This window comes from Homo sapiens, chromosome 6 (genome assembly GCF_000001405.40).
Source record: "Homo sapiens chromosome 6, GRCh38.p14 Primary Assembly".
Lineage (NCBI taxonomy): Eukaryota > Metazoa > Chordata > Mammalia > Primates > Hominidae > Homo > Homo sapiens.
In genome coordinates, this window is record NC_000006.12 from 52,464,370 (window position 1) to 52,481,620 (window position 17,251).

At 37.3% G+C, this 17,251-nt stretch overlaps 1 protein-coding gene across 3 annotated transcripts in view; it reads left to right on the forward strand.

The window, feature by feature from the left end:
- The window catches only part of EFHC1 (EF-hand domain containing 1), a 76,857-nt gene that overhangs the window by 44,028 nt on the left and 15,578 nt on the right, over positions 1-17,251 (forward strand). For all 3 annotated transcript variants that reach the window (NR_033327.2, NM_018100.4, NM_001172420.2), the window contains 4 exons: positions 526-746; positions 4,964-5,104; positions 14,668-14,881; positions 15,271-15,418. Coding sequence is in view for 2 of the 3 variants with exons in the window: in NM_018100.4 (NP_060570.2) it covers positions 526-746; positions 4,964-5,104; positions 14,668-14,881; positions 15,271-15,418 (724 nt within the window). In the remaining variant the exon portion in view is untranslated. The remainder of the gene's footprint in view (positions 1-525; positions 747-4,963; positions 5,105-14,667; positions 14,882-15,270; positions 15,419-17,251) is intronic.

Sequence of the window (17,251 nt, forward strand, 5' to 3'; positions counted from 1 at the left end):
TTTTTTAGTGTCTGTCTCCCCAAAGAGAATATTTTCTCCATGAAGTCAGGAATTGTATCTACAGTGTTAATTATCGTAATCCCAGTATTTAGCAGTGTACCTAGTACATGATATAGATGGTCACTAGTAATTGCTGGATGAATGGATAAACGGGTGGGAATTTGAGCTAAATGACTTGGATCTTTCCTAGACCTAGGACTTTATACTTACAGAAGGACATTTGTTCTTTCCTCCTGTAGTGATTTATTTTAAGCATTAATTTGCTAAAATTAGTGATTTATAGTGATAGTTTGAGCTGAATATGGGAGAGAGACTTCACAAAAACCGTATTATGTACGTGTCGTATCAACAGATGGAAATACACAGCCAAGTGTTCTAGTGGGAATGTTGGGGAGACCCTGACTCTTGACCAGAGCAAAAGACTGCACTCCCTCAGGTTCTCAAGAATGCCTGGCAGTTGTGTGTCAAGTCTTTCTTGACACACTCATTCCTTCTTTTTTTCTCTCTAACACCATCTTATATTAGAGAACTTCCCTCAGTGTGTGCTAGAAATCTCTGACCAAGAAGTGTTGGAATGGTATACTGCTAAAGACTTCATTGTTGGGAAGTCACTCACTATCCTTGGGAGAACTTTCTTCATTTATGATTGTGATCCATTTACTCGACGGTATTACAAAGAGAAGTTTGGAATCACTGATTTACCACGTATTGATGTGAGCAAGCGGGAACCACCTCCAGTAAAACAGGTAATCAGATAGTACTTCTTAGTGTGGTGAGAAAACTAATTTTTTGAGGTAGAAATTTAAGAAAAAAAGACTTCTATGCAAATATTCGATAAATAATGGACAAAGTATATGTAACACAGTAGTTCACAAAAGAAGAAATACAAATGACAAAAAAATTATGAGAAGACCCTCAATCTAACTGATAATCAGTGAAATAGAATGAAAATAATGATGTTTTTGGATCTGTTCAATTTTAAAAGATTCATGATATCCAGTGTTTGCCCTATATGAAGAAATGGGAATTTTCATATACTGTTTATAGGAAAGCCAGTCAGAGTAAACTTTCTGAAAGGCAATTTGTTGTCTATTTTATTTTGAAAAAAATAAAATAGACATTTTATTTTTATAAGTAAATAAAATGTATATTTTCTGGCTGGGCACAGTGGCTCATATCTGTAATCCAGCACTTTGGGAGGCCAGGGCAGGTGGATCCCTTGAAGTCAGGAGTTCTAGACCAGCCTGGCCAACGTAGTGAAACCTTGTCTCTACTAAAAATACAAAAATTAGCCGAGTGTAGTGGTGCGCACCTGTAATCCCAGCTCCTCGGGAGGCTGAGGCATGAGGATCACTTTAACCTGTGAGATGGAGGTTGCAGTGAGCCGAGATCATGCCATTGCACTCCAGCCTGGGCAACAGAATGAGTGAAAGTCTGTCTCAAAAAAATATGTATATATTATATATCTATATAATATATATAATATCTATCTATATATATATTATAAATCATATTGTTTATAATATATGATATTGGATATATATGATAGGACACATCATAATATGGTTTATATTATGACATATAGATATAGATATATCTCATATCTTTTACCTGGAAATATACTTTGGGAACTCTAAAAATGTATATGGAAGAATGTGTATTGTAGCATTATTTATAAAAAAATAAAGTGTGAGGAGATTGACAAAATAAATGATATCCACTCATGAAATGGATGTATGAAAATACATGCATTCATACAATTAAAAGACAGTTAAAATACACCCATTCATAAAAGACTACTATGTGTGTAAAGTATCACTGGGCCCTTTCTCCTCAAAAGAAAGGCATGAATAAAATTATGGAATGTTTGAGTACCTCCAGCCAGGGCCCTGCCTTCCCTTCCAGCGGCTGCTCCTCTTGCTTGCAGTTGGCCTCCAGTCGTACTGAGTTCTCTGGTTCTACCAGTACAGCATCTTGTTTTACTCCCAGGAACTTTTGCTTGTGCTCTTCCTCCTTGAACCACTTTTCTGTTATTCTTACATGCAGCTCTTTTTTATCCTCCAATACCCAGTGTAGGCTTCTTCCCCAAGAAGTCTTTTCTAAAGCTCCAGGTAGGGCAAAAAGCCTTTCATCTCTATTCCTGGGGTATTCTCTGCCTCCCTCTACTAGCACTTCTCTATTATATTAAATTATCTGCTAGTGAATATTTTGTACTAGATTGTAACTCCCTTGAGGCCAAGGACTATGTCCTATTCATCTTTCTCTCCTAGTACCTAATACAGTGCCTAATAAATAGGAGGTATATAATATGTTTCTTGAACTGGACTGAAGAAAATTGGCTATGAAGGTGTTCTGCAAAAAGGAAGTGATGTCTTAGGCAAAACTTTTAGAAACAATGTTTTATAGAAACGATTACAAAGAAGGATTTGGATTTTGGTATGCTGTGAGTTCCCAGAGGCAATACAATTTCTGGAAGGAAGTGTGGGTGATAATACCTCTTGCTGTCAGTTTTTTCTCTGATAGATTTCTTTATCAATGATGTGTTCATTGATTAAGAACAATGATAAACCCTCTCCTGGTGTAATGCATTGTGAAAAGAAAAAGAATTATGATAAACTCTCTGCCCCCAAGTTTCTTGGCAGCATTTGATGCAGTACACAGGGGAAAATACCATGAGAACAGATTTAGATTTTGATCAAGGAAACTATTTTACCACTTCAGTTAATAGATAAGGATGGTTATCTAACCAGGAGGTAGAGTAGTGAGAGATTACAACATAGTGATGCCCTTTTCTTGGTGAAAGGACTTTGACTTTTTTTTTTTTTTTTTTAAGACAGGGTCTTGCTCTGTGTCCCAGGCTGGAGTGCAGTGGTGCAGTCTTGGCTCACTGCAACGTCCACCTCCCAGGTTCAAGCGATTCTTGTGCCTCAGCCTCCCCAGTAGCTGGGACTACAGGTCGTGCCACCACACCCAGCTAATTTTTGTATTTTTAGTACAGACGGGGTTTCACCATGTTGGCCAGGCTGGTCTGGAACTCCCTACCTCAGGTGATCCACCCACCTTGGCCTCCCAAAGTGCTAGTATTACAGGCATGAGCCACCGCACCGGCCTGATCTGTCTTTTGAGCCAATGGAATTTTTTGAGTCTTAGAATACCTCTGTTCCCCATCCTTATTACTATCATCTTTTTTTTCTCCTAACCTATCTTGAAGTAAAGAAAAGAGAGGGAAGCCCTGGATAAAGAGCAGAGGGGAACTGAAGATCTACTGTAGATTTTGGTTGGTTGTTTTGCTCTATCCCAGCCCTTTTGTATAATAAAACTAATTTTATATAATAAAACATCTATACATATGGCACATTAATTATAGTGTTTGGTCAGTTTCTTTCCCGTACTTTCTCTATAATAAATAGCTCTATAATAAACAAATTCCACCTGTCCATGAAATTTGTTAGAGATAAATAGAATGCCAATTACCAATCAGCAAACGCTTTTTAGTCATTATACCTCAGTCATTTTAACCCTAAATAACATAAATGGAAACCAGGGATAGGAATTTGTAGCAGAGTCTAGAGGAATAAAGCTAGAGCCAAGCCAATGCAGGGATAGAAGTAGATACGAAATGGATATATTCAATTCGAGAGGTATGGCACTTGTAAGTCAAGCTTCTCTGCTAGATCAGGAATAAGTAAACATAAATGCAATAGCCAGATGTGTTTTCTGTCAGGCTGGCTCCATCTGGAGGCATGCTGGTAGGGAAAAGAAAGAAACCAGAACTAGGAGAGCTAATCTGCTATGGAGACTTCCCCTGAAAGCAGTATCTGAAGGTTATGGTACTCTGGGGTTCTAAGGGTACTACTAGCTTGGTTGAAGATGTCCAGACAGAAACTCTGGTAAGTGGATCATATGAGCAGGAGTATCTAGGAGTGATGATATCCATAGTCAGATGAGTGTTCATCTAGTTTACAACGGGACCCACCCAAGCAGTAGCTTGAAGTATGAGAAGCAAGGTGCAAGGATACCGTACATATGGACTGATATTTAGGGAAGGTCTTTATTCCAGGCAGGGGAAGTGAGTATATTCAGGAAAAACAGGTAAAGTTTGTTAAAATACAATAGGAATTTGAGAAGAAGGCCCAGAGGCTTTATAGCTACCTTCTTATTGCAAAATCCTTCAACCCTCAGTGACCTCCCTATTGGCCCCCCAGCCAGGATGCTCTCATTGTGTGGTGTTGGTACAAGTGCAAAGCAAGTTCAGATACCACCACTTTGCAGTTTCTGCCTAGCCTCCAGAGAAAACTCAGATGCTTAGCATGTAGGCCGTCAGCTCAGGGTTCCTCTGTCCATAGTTACCTGTAAATTCACTGAGTAGTGGTTTTGCAATTGAAGCAAATTAGGTCATTTTCCATCTGCTAAATCCACTAGTCATATTCTAGCCATGATTACCACATTAACTACAGTCCCAGCAAGTGATTTTGGGGTCAGTGTTCCAAGTAGTACGCCGTAGACAAATTTAATAGTCCTTTGTTGTTGAAGAAATACTCTGTTATGGATGGTACTAGGGACTATATGGACTTACTTGTTAAAGTGCCTGAAAATAATATATAAAAAGATTTTGTGGAGGTATATACAAGAGAAAATGTGTGCTACACAGGACCCTCACTGGGGTGGGACTAGGTCCTGCTTTTGTAGTAAGGGGTCAGTGGACATCAGCAATAGTTTCTCTGTAGCCCTGAGAGTTACTTTAGAGCATCATCAGTTACTTCTGTGATCAGTGAACATGATGCAAAATCCACAGAGGAAGGGGATAAGTGATATGTTATATTTTCTGACTATATTTGTTTATGTAGAAAATATATTTGCATAAGTATTTTCTAGAGTTTTTTCTTTAAACTTATAGTTACCTTTAATGTAATCTTAACACAAGTAGTATCTGCCTTACTTCTTGCTTCCTATGTATCTCCAGGAGTTGCCTCCTTATAACGGTTTTGGACTAGTGGAAGATTCTGCTCAGAATTGTTTTGCTCTCATTCCAAAAGCTCCAAAAAAAGACGTTATTAAAATGCTGGTGAATGATAACAAGGTGCTTCGTTATTTGGCTGTACTGGTGAGGCTAATTTTTATATACTAAAGATTCTCTTCTATCTCAGTACTGTGTACAATTGTTTATTTTATCTGTAAGCTGTAGATTAACAGCTGTCAGAGTTATGTGTTGACTCAACCAACCATTGTATCTAGTACCCAGCCTTCAGGGAGGTTGGATAGTATTAAGTATGGTGCCCCTGAACTAAGACCTAGATCAAGTCCTATCTCTCCCAAGAATCTTTCTTAAGATCATTAATCTCTCACTCTTACACCTCAAATGTTGACAGATCTTTTGCCTCTTTTATTAAGTAACTATGAAATTGCTTAATATTCAAACCATGTGTGTATCTGTGTGGCTTTTTGGTATACTGTGATTTCTTTGAGGTTAGGGACCATGTCTTAGTAAGTTTTGCGTTTATCTGTGATATCTTGCCTGATATCTTGAGAGGTTATGTGACTAATAGTTAAGAGCATGGAGTTGGAAATAGACATACACTCAAATTCTGCATATCCCATTAATTAGCAGAATTGTATGAGAGAAGTTGCTGATAGAAATTCAAAGTGTAAGGTCTTTAAAATGGAAAAAAAATGTAGAATAGGAACCTAACCATTTTATTAGAAATATGAACATAAATAGCAGAAGTTGAAATAAGTTATATCTCAGAATAGGAATTAGGAGCTGGGGGTAGGAGGTGTCAGGTGACTTTTCAAACTATATACATGTATTTGAAAAGATAAAAACTAAGGTGAAGACAACTGAATAATAGATTTTAGAAAACGATTGCACAAAGCTTTAAATAAAAAGAGAGTTCTGGCTAAAAACAAAATTTTTTAAGAAAACAACAAAACAGCAAAATGTAGGCCAACTAGAACACTCTCCATAAGAATTCTGACCAATAAAGGTTTTGTGGTACTAGATTCTTTCAGTTACTGTTAAAATTCAAGCGGCTTGTTGAATTATTATATGGTAACTATAACTCCTTAAGGGCAGGAATCATGTCCTTCTAGACTTTGTAGGTACTCAGTAACTGTTCGTTCAGTAGGCAAAAGAATTTATTTCTGCACACATTATCCATGAGTAAGGCAATACAATATTGTACCCATTTTATGTTTCAAAACTTAAGAAACAGAAAGGCTAATTGTCTTGTCCCAGGTCCAGTGCTGCTTAGACAGGGGTAGGACTAGAACTCAGCCTTCTGGCTTTCAACCCAGTATTCTTTTGATGAAGAACCAGTATAATACTTAGGATTAGAAAAGGGAAAGGAACTCCTATGAGTCTGTAAACTGCAAAATTGTAAGCTTACCTTTGATAATGAAAAACCTGGAAAAATTAATACAAAGTTGATTACAAAAATGGCTATGAATAGTGTTAGATATTGCTAAATGAGGAGAAAAGATAAATTTCTTTTGATTGCAGCCTTCTGTACTCACAAGCAACCTGGTCAAACATGATATATCACTAAAAGTTAAAGCATTTACAGAGAACTTCTATTTCTAGCAATGATAGACCAAATAATTTGGATCAGCCCTCTTGCTGAGGTGTATGTTTGTGTGTATGTGTATGTTTATGTGTGTTAGCACTTGAAGGTGCTGGACAACTAGCAAGATGTGAAGAATCACAGAGCAAGAACCAGGGGAACAATGAGAACCGCAGAAGTGAACCTGACATTTGGGTTCATTTTTCCGCTAGGCGTGTTTGCTGATTCCAGAAGACCCACCTGTGAGGACAAACATTGGAATCTATTTAGGGCCTGTCAAAGGCAGAAGCTCCTGGGAAACCCTCTGTGCTTAAGTCTGTCTGTAGCTAATCTTTGAAGGGACTGTTGTCTGGCTTTGAATTATCATAGTCCCTGATTGTCTCAGTTTTACAAATCAGATTAAGGTGATCCTGGATTATAATAACCCCAGGTGACTGTCAGAAGCAAACAAATTCTCTGCAGATGACATCATTTTCAGCTTCAATTTATTTCTACAATTTTAAAAATACAATGTGTGGCACTCACAAAAACAATATTAATAATACAATGTTCAGAAACAAGACAAGATAACATAAAGAAAAGTGACCAGAAATAAGAGACAATAGAATATACTTATAGGGATTTCAGATACTGGCACTATGAAACTTAAACTTAAGCCGGGAGCAGTGGCTCACACCTGTAATCCCAACACTTTGGGAGGCCAAGGAGGGCAGATCACTTGAGGTCAGGAATTTGAGACCAGCCTGGCCAACATGCTAAAACCCTGCATCTACTAAAAAAATACAAAAATTAGCCAGGCATGGTGGCATGCACCTGTAATCCCAGGTACTCAGGAGGCTGAGATATGAGAATCGCTTGAACCTGGGAGGTGGAAGTTGCAGTGAGCCAAGATTGTGCCACTGTACTCCAGCCTGGGCGACAGAGCAAGACTCCGTCTAAAAATAAAATAAAATAAATAAATAACTAAATAATAAAATTAAAAAAAAAATTTTTAAAAACCTTTGTTTACCATGTTTAAGGAGATAAAGAATAAGATTGAGAATTTCAGCAAAAGATGAGAAATAAGCCAAAAAAGTCTATTTCAGTTTTGAAAAATCATCACATTAACAGAATAAAAGAGAAAAATTAAATTTTGAAAAGCATTTGCTAAAATCAATCTAATATGATTTAAAAATAAAACTCGCATATACCCCTGAACCTAAAATAAAAGTTTAAAAAAGTAAAAATGAAAGAAAACAAAACTTTTAATAAAAAAAAAGAATAAAAGGGGGTTTCCTTTATCTGTTAAAGGTTATGTATGAAAAGTCTACTGCAAACAGCTTACTTAGTGATGAAATGTCGAAAGGGTACTTTCTGAGATTAGGAACAAGGCAAGACTGCTATCACCCCTTCTGGTCCACATTGTTCTGGAAGTCCTAGCTGGAACAGTGAAACAGGAAGCGAATAAACAAGTATATGGATTGAAGAGGAAAAAATAAAATTGTCATTATCCAAAATGAACAATTGTATATATAGAAAATAAAGAATCTACCTTCTACATTAGGGAAGTCAATATACAAATAGCAACAAAGAAAACATAAAGTTAAAAAATACCATTTACTATAGCATCAAAAATATTAAATTCCTAGGTATAAATTAAATTCCTTGGTATAATATTTTAGGTGTTACATACAAAAGATATGTAACACCTAAAAGATGTATCTTTATCATACAAGAGATATGTAATATCTTTTACATACAAGAGATATGTAATATCTTTTACATACAAGAGATATGTAATATCTTTTACATACAAGAGATATGTAATATCTTTTACATACAAGAGATATGTAACACCTAGGTGTTACATATCTTTTAGGTGTTACATACAAAAACACTTTAGGTGTTACATATCTTTTAGGTGTTACATACAAAAGATATGTTACATACCAAAAATATGTAACACCTAAAATATTATTGAGAGAAAATTAAGAAGACCTAAATAAATGAAGGGATATACCATGTTCATTGGCTAGAAAATTCAGTATTATAAAAATATTTTCCCCAAATTGATCTATGGTTTAAAATTAAGTCAAAAAATCCAAAAATGTTTTTATTTTTACAGACAAATTGATTCTATAATTTAAGTGGAGAGGCAAAGCACCAGGAATAGCCAAGATACTCTTGGAGAAGAGCAAGATCAGTGGATTTTGCTCACAAAAATATCACTGTGTATTAAAAGTCACAGTAATTAAAATAACATGTTATTGGTGCAAGGATAAACAAACCAATGGAACAGATTAGACAGCCCAGGAAAAGACATATGACAAATACAGCACTGCAGAGGGGCTGGGAAAGGAAGATGTTTCTAATCAGTGATATCAAACAATCAGATATTCATGTAACAAAAAAGAAAATTTGACCTCCATCTCACTCCAAAAGTGGAAATCAGGTCTAGGTAGATTGAAAATCTAAATGTGAAAGGTAAAACAATAAAACTTCTTAGCAATAAATAATCTTAACATTATAGTAGGGAAAGATTTATTTAGTCGGATACAAAAAACCAGTCATGTTTTAAAAATGGATAAATGACCGGGCACGGTGGTTCATGCCTGTAATCCCAGCACTTTGGGAGACCAAGGTGGGCAGACTGCCCCAGCTCAGGAGTTTGAGACCAGTATGGCCAACATGTTGAAACCCTGACCCTACTAAAAATACAAAAAATTAGCTGGGCATGTTAGTGCACGCCTGTAGTCCCAGCCACTTGGGAGGCTGAGGCAGGAGAATCACTTGAGTCTGGGGGGCGGAGGTTGCAGTGAGCCGAGACTGAGCCACTTCACTTCAGCCTGGGTGGCAGAGAAAGGCTCTGTCTCCTTAATTAATTAATTAATTAAAATGGATAAATTTGATTATATTAAGATAAAGAATTTCTGTTCTTCCAAAAAACACCATTAAGATTGTAAAAAAAGGCAAGCTTCAAGTGGGAGCAGATGTTTAATACAGAAATCAACCAAGATCTTATATTCAGAATATATAAAGAACACTCTGAAATCATTAAGAAAAATGAGCAAGAAACTTGAACAGGCATTTCACAAAAGAGGATATCCAAGAGGCAACTAAACATATTAGAAGGGCCAGGTGCAGTGATTCACACCTGTTTTCCCAGCACTTTGGGAGGCGGAGGCAGGAAGATCACTTGAACCCTATGTCATAGGGCAACATAATGAGACCCTATCGCTACAAAGATAAAAAAATAAGTTAATTGGGCTTGGTGGCATGTGCCTATAGTCCCAGTTACCTGGGACACTAAGGCGGGAGGATCACTTGAACCCAGGAGTTCGAAGCTGTAGTGAGCTATGATCCTGCCACTGCACTCCAACCTGGGCAACAGAGACTCTGTCTTTAAAAATATGTACATATGAGAAGTTGCTTAGCTTCGTTAGTAACTAAAGAAGTGCAGATTACAATCATAGTGAGTTGCCTCTACCCACCCATCAGAATCATTAATATGTTGATGAGAATATGTAACCATAGGAACTCTCATACTCTTTACTAAGAGAGTATACCCACTTTGTAAAACAGTTTGGCATAATAAATTTACTAGATGGTGCTAAGGGTGCAATATATGTTCACCAAAAAATAAGAATGTTTATAATAGCGTAATTCATAATAGCAAAAATAGACCTAAATGTCTACCTACAACAGACTGGATAAGTTGTGGTATATTTGTGTCATAATTTGATTTCTGTTCAATGAAAATTAAGGAACTACAGCTACTAATAACAACATGGCTAAATCACATAAACATAATTTTGAATGTAAGAATCCAGACACAAAAGAATGCATACATATTATGTAATTCATTTATATGAAGATTAAAAAGCAGACAAAACAAAACTTTATGGATGTCTGCTTTGTAGCAAAACTAAAGAAAACCATACAATTCAAGGCAATGGCCTGTTTGGTGGGGGAAGGATAGAATATTGATTGGGAGGTTCTGGCAGCGTTCTGTTTCTCAACCTGGATGGTGGTTATATGGGTGTTTACTTTATTAAAATTCTTTCGGCTGTGCATTTTGATATTTTTATTGTTGTTTTGGGTTTTTTTTTTTTGCAGTTTTCTCTCTGTGTTACTGCTCACAGTAAAAAAAATTAAAAGAAAGCCAACAGAACTATTAGTAAAGAAATAGTGGATATCTTTATGTGGGCAGGAAAAAAGAGGTGATATTCTGGTCATGGTAATTTTCAGATGTTTTCCCCTGACCTATTGGGTGAAATAGAGAATGTATTCATTAGACTCATCACAAAAGTTCTTGAGGAAGAAAGGGTGCTTGACAATAAGGGGAAAAGGTTTATGAGTGAGGCGGGGACTTCAAAAGAAAATATATGGAAATTCAAAAAGAAAGGAGTATGCTATAGAAATGATCAGAGACAAATTAATTAAATCCCATGGAGGTCAGACTAAGACACTGGATGTGTTCTGAGAAAATAACATGTACTAAATCCTAGTAGGCAATTGGTGCCTAAGTAAAAATATGCTGGTAAACTCTCTGGGACTGAGAGTGGAATGCTGGCTGAGAAACTTGGCAAAGCTTTCGAAGAACAGAAACATGATTTGAACCATAATCTTCAAAGCAGCTGAATGTCTTCCAAGAGATACGCAAGACAGTACCATGTGTGGTGTTTGTTAAGAAAATATTACAGCCTCTGTTTATTTTATTTACTATGAGTGCATTTATTTTATAGCCTCTGATATTTTTATATGTGCCTTTTAATGCACAAACTATATTTATATAGAAGAACATATGTTTAATTATTAATTCATTCAACAAATATTAAAGGACTACTCTGGGCTAGATATGGTTCTAGATACCAAAGGTACAGTGGAGAACAAGATAGACAAATATTTGCTCTCATGGAGCTTACATTCTAGTTGACATTCTAGTCAAATAAATACATTGTATAAGGATAGGTAGTAACATGTGCTGTAAAAAATAAAATGAGACAGAGAATGATGGGGAAGGGGCTCATTTATATCAGCAGAATGGGGAAAGCCTCTCTGAGGAGGTCATAGCAGAGCAGAAACCAAACGAATAGCTGAGGGAGCCAGCCAGGGGAATACCTGAGAGAGCTTCATGTAAGACCGAGACAGTGTGCAGTGAATGGAGGGCAAAAAGGTGGAAATGACAGGTCGGGGGCCAGCCAGGGCTCTGCAACCAGTGGTATAACAAGGCCAGAGGAATGGGCTGATGGGAGCAGTCCAGGTAACAAGAAAGTATAGATAACAAGCTGCAGAGAATTTAAAAATAAAACCAACTAAAAGTTGGTCTGTTTCTTCTTATTATCATGTGCCTGTAATTCTAAACAACATCAGTGATACTCATCCCCAAAGGGATGGCTCCTCCATACAGTAGAATTTCAGTTAATTAATGTAAAAGAAAAGTGGGAAGTAGTAAAATTATCATTAGGCACACACTGCTGTAATCATGGTTGCAGATAAGATCCAGCAATGGCTGCTAAAATTAGTGGGAAAACCTTTGAGGAGAAACAGGATTCCCATAATCTCAAAACATCTCCCCCAAGATGTTTTGTAATTGCAAAGGGAAATATGGTAACTTTAAGGGAAGAAATCCAGCAGAAACCTTAACCAAGTGATCAAGGTCAGTGTTATCCATAATAAGATATATTGACATCATAAACTCCCTGGTATACACTAAAGACATGGTATCTTTTCTGGGTTACTTTTGCCAAAAATGCAAAAATGAGATGCCTGAGGAACATTCAAGAAAATAATTGATGAGTAGTCTTCAAAAGCGTCAAAGTCATGAAAGAGAAGGGCAGATTGAGGAACTATCTATCACATATTGGAGGAGACTAAAGAGAAATAATAACTAAATGCAATGTGGGATCCTGGATGGGATCCTGAAACAAAAAGAGCATTTGTGAGAAACAGGGTGAAATTTGAATAAGGACCATAGTTTATTTACTAATATTGTACTATTGTTATTTTCCTGGTTCAGATAATTGTACTAATGGCTATATAGGATGTTAACATTAGGAGAACCTTGGTGAGGGGAGTGATAATTCTCTGTAATATTTATGCTTTTCTATAAATGTAAACCTCATTCCCAATAAAGACAATAATTTTTTTAAAGTTTTATAGTACTCTTTCCTGCCATAATAAACCATTACCATTGTCCCCCCCAACCCCCCGGTATGCCCCTGCTTAGAAGTTTGTATTTTATTCTAAGTGTGCTAGAAATTCTTTGAAGGTTTGAGAGCAGAGGAGTGATATGATTTGATTTTAACTATATTGTAGTTGTTTAACATTTATATTTTTATTACATGGGTGTACAATCCAAATGATTTGGAGACTATTAGATGAAGGAATGATATGAGAAAATTATTTTACTAAGAGAAAAATCTAATGACTTTTTTAATAGATGAGGAATTATTACACAAACAATCCCATGGTCTTAATGAGAAGATGTGCTACAGTTACAATATGAGCGGATTTCAGTCAGGAATAAACAAATCTGTATTAAGTTTTGTTGGAACTGGAATTTCTTCCTTAGGGGTTGTGTGATCACTCTGCAATTTGATTTAGAAAAAGTCTCATCTGACAAAGGGCTAATATCCAGCATCTACAATGAACTCAAACAGATTTACAAGAAAAAAATAAACAACCCCATCAAAAAGTGGGCAAAGGACATGAACAGACACTTCTCAAAAGAAGACATTTATGCAGCCAAAAAACACATGAAAAAATGCTCATCATCACTGGCCATCAGAGAAATGCAAATCAAAACCACAAAGACATACCATCTCACACCAGTTAGAATGGCAGTCATTAAAAGGTCAGGAAACAACAGGTGCTGGAGAGGATGTGGAGAAATAGGAACACTTTTACACTGTTGGTGGGACTGTAGACTAGTTCAACCATTGTGGAAGTCAGTGTGGTGATTCCTCAGGGATCTAGAACTGGAAATACCATTTGACCCAGCCATCCCATTACTGGGTATATACCGAAAGGACTATAAATCATGCTGCTATAAAGACACATGCACACGTATGTTTATTGCGGCATTATTCACAATAGCAAAGACTTGGAACCAACCCAAATGTCCAACAATGATAGACTGGATTAAGAAAATGTGGCACATATACACCATGGAATACTATGCAGCCATAAAATTGATGAGTTCATGTCCTTTGTAGGGACATGGATGAAATTGGAAATCATCATTCTCAGTAAACTATCGCAAGAACAAAAAACCAAACACCGCATATTCTCACTCATAGGTGGGAATTGAACAATGAGATCACATGGACACAGGAAGGGGAATTTCACACTCTGGGGACTGTGGTGGGGTGGGAGGAGGGGGGAGGGATAGCATTGGGAGATATACCTAATGCTAGATGACGAGTTAGTGGGTGCAGTGCACCAGCATGGCACATGTATACATATGTAACTAACCTGCACAATGTGCACATGTACCCTAAAACTTAAACTATAATAAAAAAAAAGAAAAAGTCTTGTCTACAAGGTAGTTTCTCAGAATCACTTTCAATTCTTTGATTTTATATTACTCTTATCCCTTCTTTTTGAATTTTATTTTTTACATTATGTATATAAATTGATTTGCTTAAAAAACGAAACCTTGCATAATCATCTTAGTGTTCATGAAGTTGAACATAATGTCAGCCAACAGGTCTCAACTAGCAGCCTGTGGTCAGAATGTAGCCCACATATATGTTCTAGTATACTGTGTTTGTTTGGGCTTCATGGTGCTTTAAAAGAGTTGGAATCAGTACTTTAAAATCAGAGGTTTAAAATAATAATCCACATTTTTATCTTTTGAAAAACTGAAAGATCTAGCAACATTGGGCCTACATTCTCACAAGGCAACAATTGAGTTGAGTTGGTGCGGCCTCCCTTGGGAAGCTTCCCTTAGATGAGGCATGTTCTTCCCAGAGACACCAGAGTTTCCCCATAGATGGTTTGTTTATATTGTAAAAACCCAGACTGCTTCATTTATATCCTATACCTGGCCCCTATAGGCATTTAAGTTGGCACATCTGCATAGACCATGAACCTTCATAATATCCTCTTTTCTTCACCTTTGTAGGAATCCCCCATCCCAGAAGACAAAGACCGCAGATTTGTCTTCTCTTACTTTCTAGCTACCGACATGATCAGTATCTTTGAGCCTCCTGTTCGCAATTCTGGTATCATTGGGGGCAAGTACCTTGGCAGGACTAAAGTTGTTAAACCATACTCTACAGTGGACAACCCTGTCTACTATGGCCCCAGTGACTTCTTCATTGGTGCTGTGATTGAAGGTAGGTCTAAACACAGTCCAGAATTTCCTACTGGCTGCCTGAATGAGTTCTTAATTGGAATTTAATTCATTTAACCCTGTAAGAGGCAATTAGATTGTATTGCAACTGAGATAAAGCTACTATCCTTGTATATATGGTATAATGTGTTAATCGCCTTCCTAATCAATTAAACTCTTAAGTTGATTGCATTTGTTGGCTACAGATGTCGACAATAAGTTTTGTAAATACTGAGCAAACGACTGCATATTAGTATGTCGTTTAAAGAAAGCTCATTAGTTTCTGTCATAAATGCATACCTGTGAATTTATCATTGGAGGGTTAATACTATTTTACTCCTGATTGCGTGAGAGAACATCACCAAGCTAAGTGTGTTGCTACCTTCTCTCCAGTGTTTGGTCACCGGTTCATCATCCTTGATACAGACGAGTATGTTTTGAAATACATGGAGAGCAACGCTGCCCAGTATTCACCAGAAGCACTCGCGTCAATTCAGAACCATGTCCGAAAGCGAGAAGCGCCTGCTCCAGAAGCAGAAAGGTGTGTGTTTGATTGCTAGGGTTTGGCACACTCAAGATATTCAGGAAGTAATTCTTGAGAAAACAAATGAGTAATCACATTTTAGATTTTCTGATTTCTCTCACCAGGTGGGAATTATTAGATATAAACAGAAGGTTCCCTGTGTCAATGTAATAGCTAGTAACTTAGAACTTTTTCAACTTCATTTGTTTAGCAAATACAGTTGACCCTTGAACAATGTGGGAGTTAGGGGTACCAGCCTCCCTCCACAGCTGAAAATTCATGTATAACTTTTGACACCCCAAAACTTAACTACTAATAGCCTACTCTTGACTGTAAGCCTTACTGATAACATAAACAGTTGATTAACACATATTTTCTGTCATGTGTATTGCATCCTGTATTCTTACAATACGGTAAGCTAGAGAAAATTAAGAAAATAATAAGAAAGAGAAAATTATTTACTATTCATTAAGTGGTAGTGGATCATCTTAAAGGTCTTCATCCTTATCTTCGTGTTGAGTAGGCTGAGAAGGATGGGTTGGTTTTGCTGTCTCAAGGGTGGCAAAGCAGAAGAAAATCCAAGTTTCAGTGGGCCTGTGCAATGCAAATTCTTGTTGTTCAAGAGTCAGCTATAATTATTAAATGCCTATTATGTGTCAGAGACTATCACTAGGCCCTTGGACTTTTATCAGTAAACAAAATAGACAAGAAGTTGCTGCCCACATTGAGTTGACCTTCCAAGCAGCAGGAGATAGACAATAACACAAATAAATTATACAGTATATTGGGTGATGAATGCTGTAAAAATTGGAGCAAATTAAGAGTAATAAGTGTTTCTGGAGAGTGGCAGTAGGTTGTGAAGGTAGGTCAGGGTAGGTGGTTGTACCTTGAGGTGACAATGAACAAACACTTGAGGGGAGTTAGCTGGGTGGATTTCTGGAGGAAGTGCTTTTCAGGAAGAGGAAATAGCGCATGCAAAGGCCCTAAATACTAGCAATATTTTACTTAAAGTACTCAAGGAACATTGGGAAGAAGTAGGCCAGTGGGGGTGGCTGAAATTGAGTGAGTGAGAGGAAGAGGAGTAGGAGATGGAATTAGAAAATTAACAATGGGCTAGATTGTGTAGGACTTACTAGGTCTTTGGAAAGGTGCTGGCTTTTTTCTCTGAATGAAATGAGCCATTGGGAGCAGGGGCATCTGAATAGAGGAGTAGCAAGATTTGACATATATTTTAAAAGAACTATCCTGGCTGTTTTGTTGAAAGTAGATTAGGAGAGAGATTAGTTAAGAGACTATTGCAGTATTCCAGGCAAGAGACGGTGATGTTTGGGCCCAGGATGGTGGTATCAGTGGAGGTGGGGAGAAGTGGTCTGATTTGGATGTATTTTGAAGGTAGCACCAATTGGACTTCAGATAGATTTTCTAGGGGATGTGAGGGGAAAAGAATAATTAAGGATGACTCCAAGATGTTTGGCCTGAGGAACAGGAAGGAAGAAATTGTGATCACCTGAGATGGGGAAGATGCGGGATGTGGGTAGAGCAGTTGCCTTCTTTGTTGGTTGGGGTGGGGATTTCAGTTCTGGATATATCGTATATTAGGTTTAAGACAGCCAAGTAGAGAGCATATAGTCTGTTGGATATGTAAATCTGGAGTTTGAGTGAGAGGTCTGGGCTGGCGATGTAAATGTGGGTGTTGTTGGCATATAGTGATATTTTAGGCTGTGAGACTGCATGATCTCTCTCTCTCTCTCTCTCTCTCTCTCTCTCTCTCGACAGGATCTCGCTCTGTACCCAGGCTGGCATGCAGTGCCAATAGTGGAATAATAGCTCACTGCAGCCTCAAACTCCTGA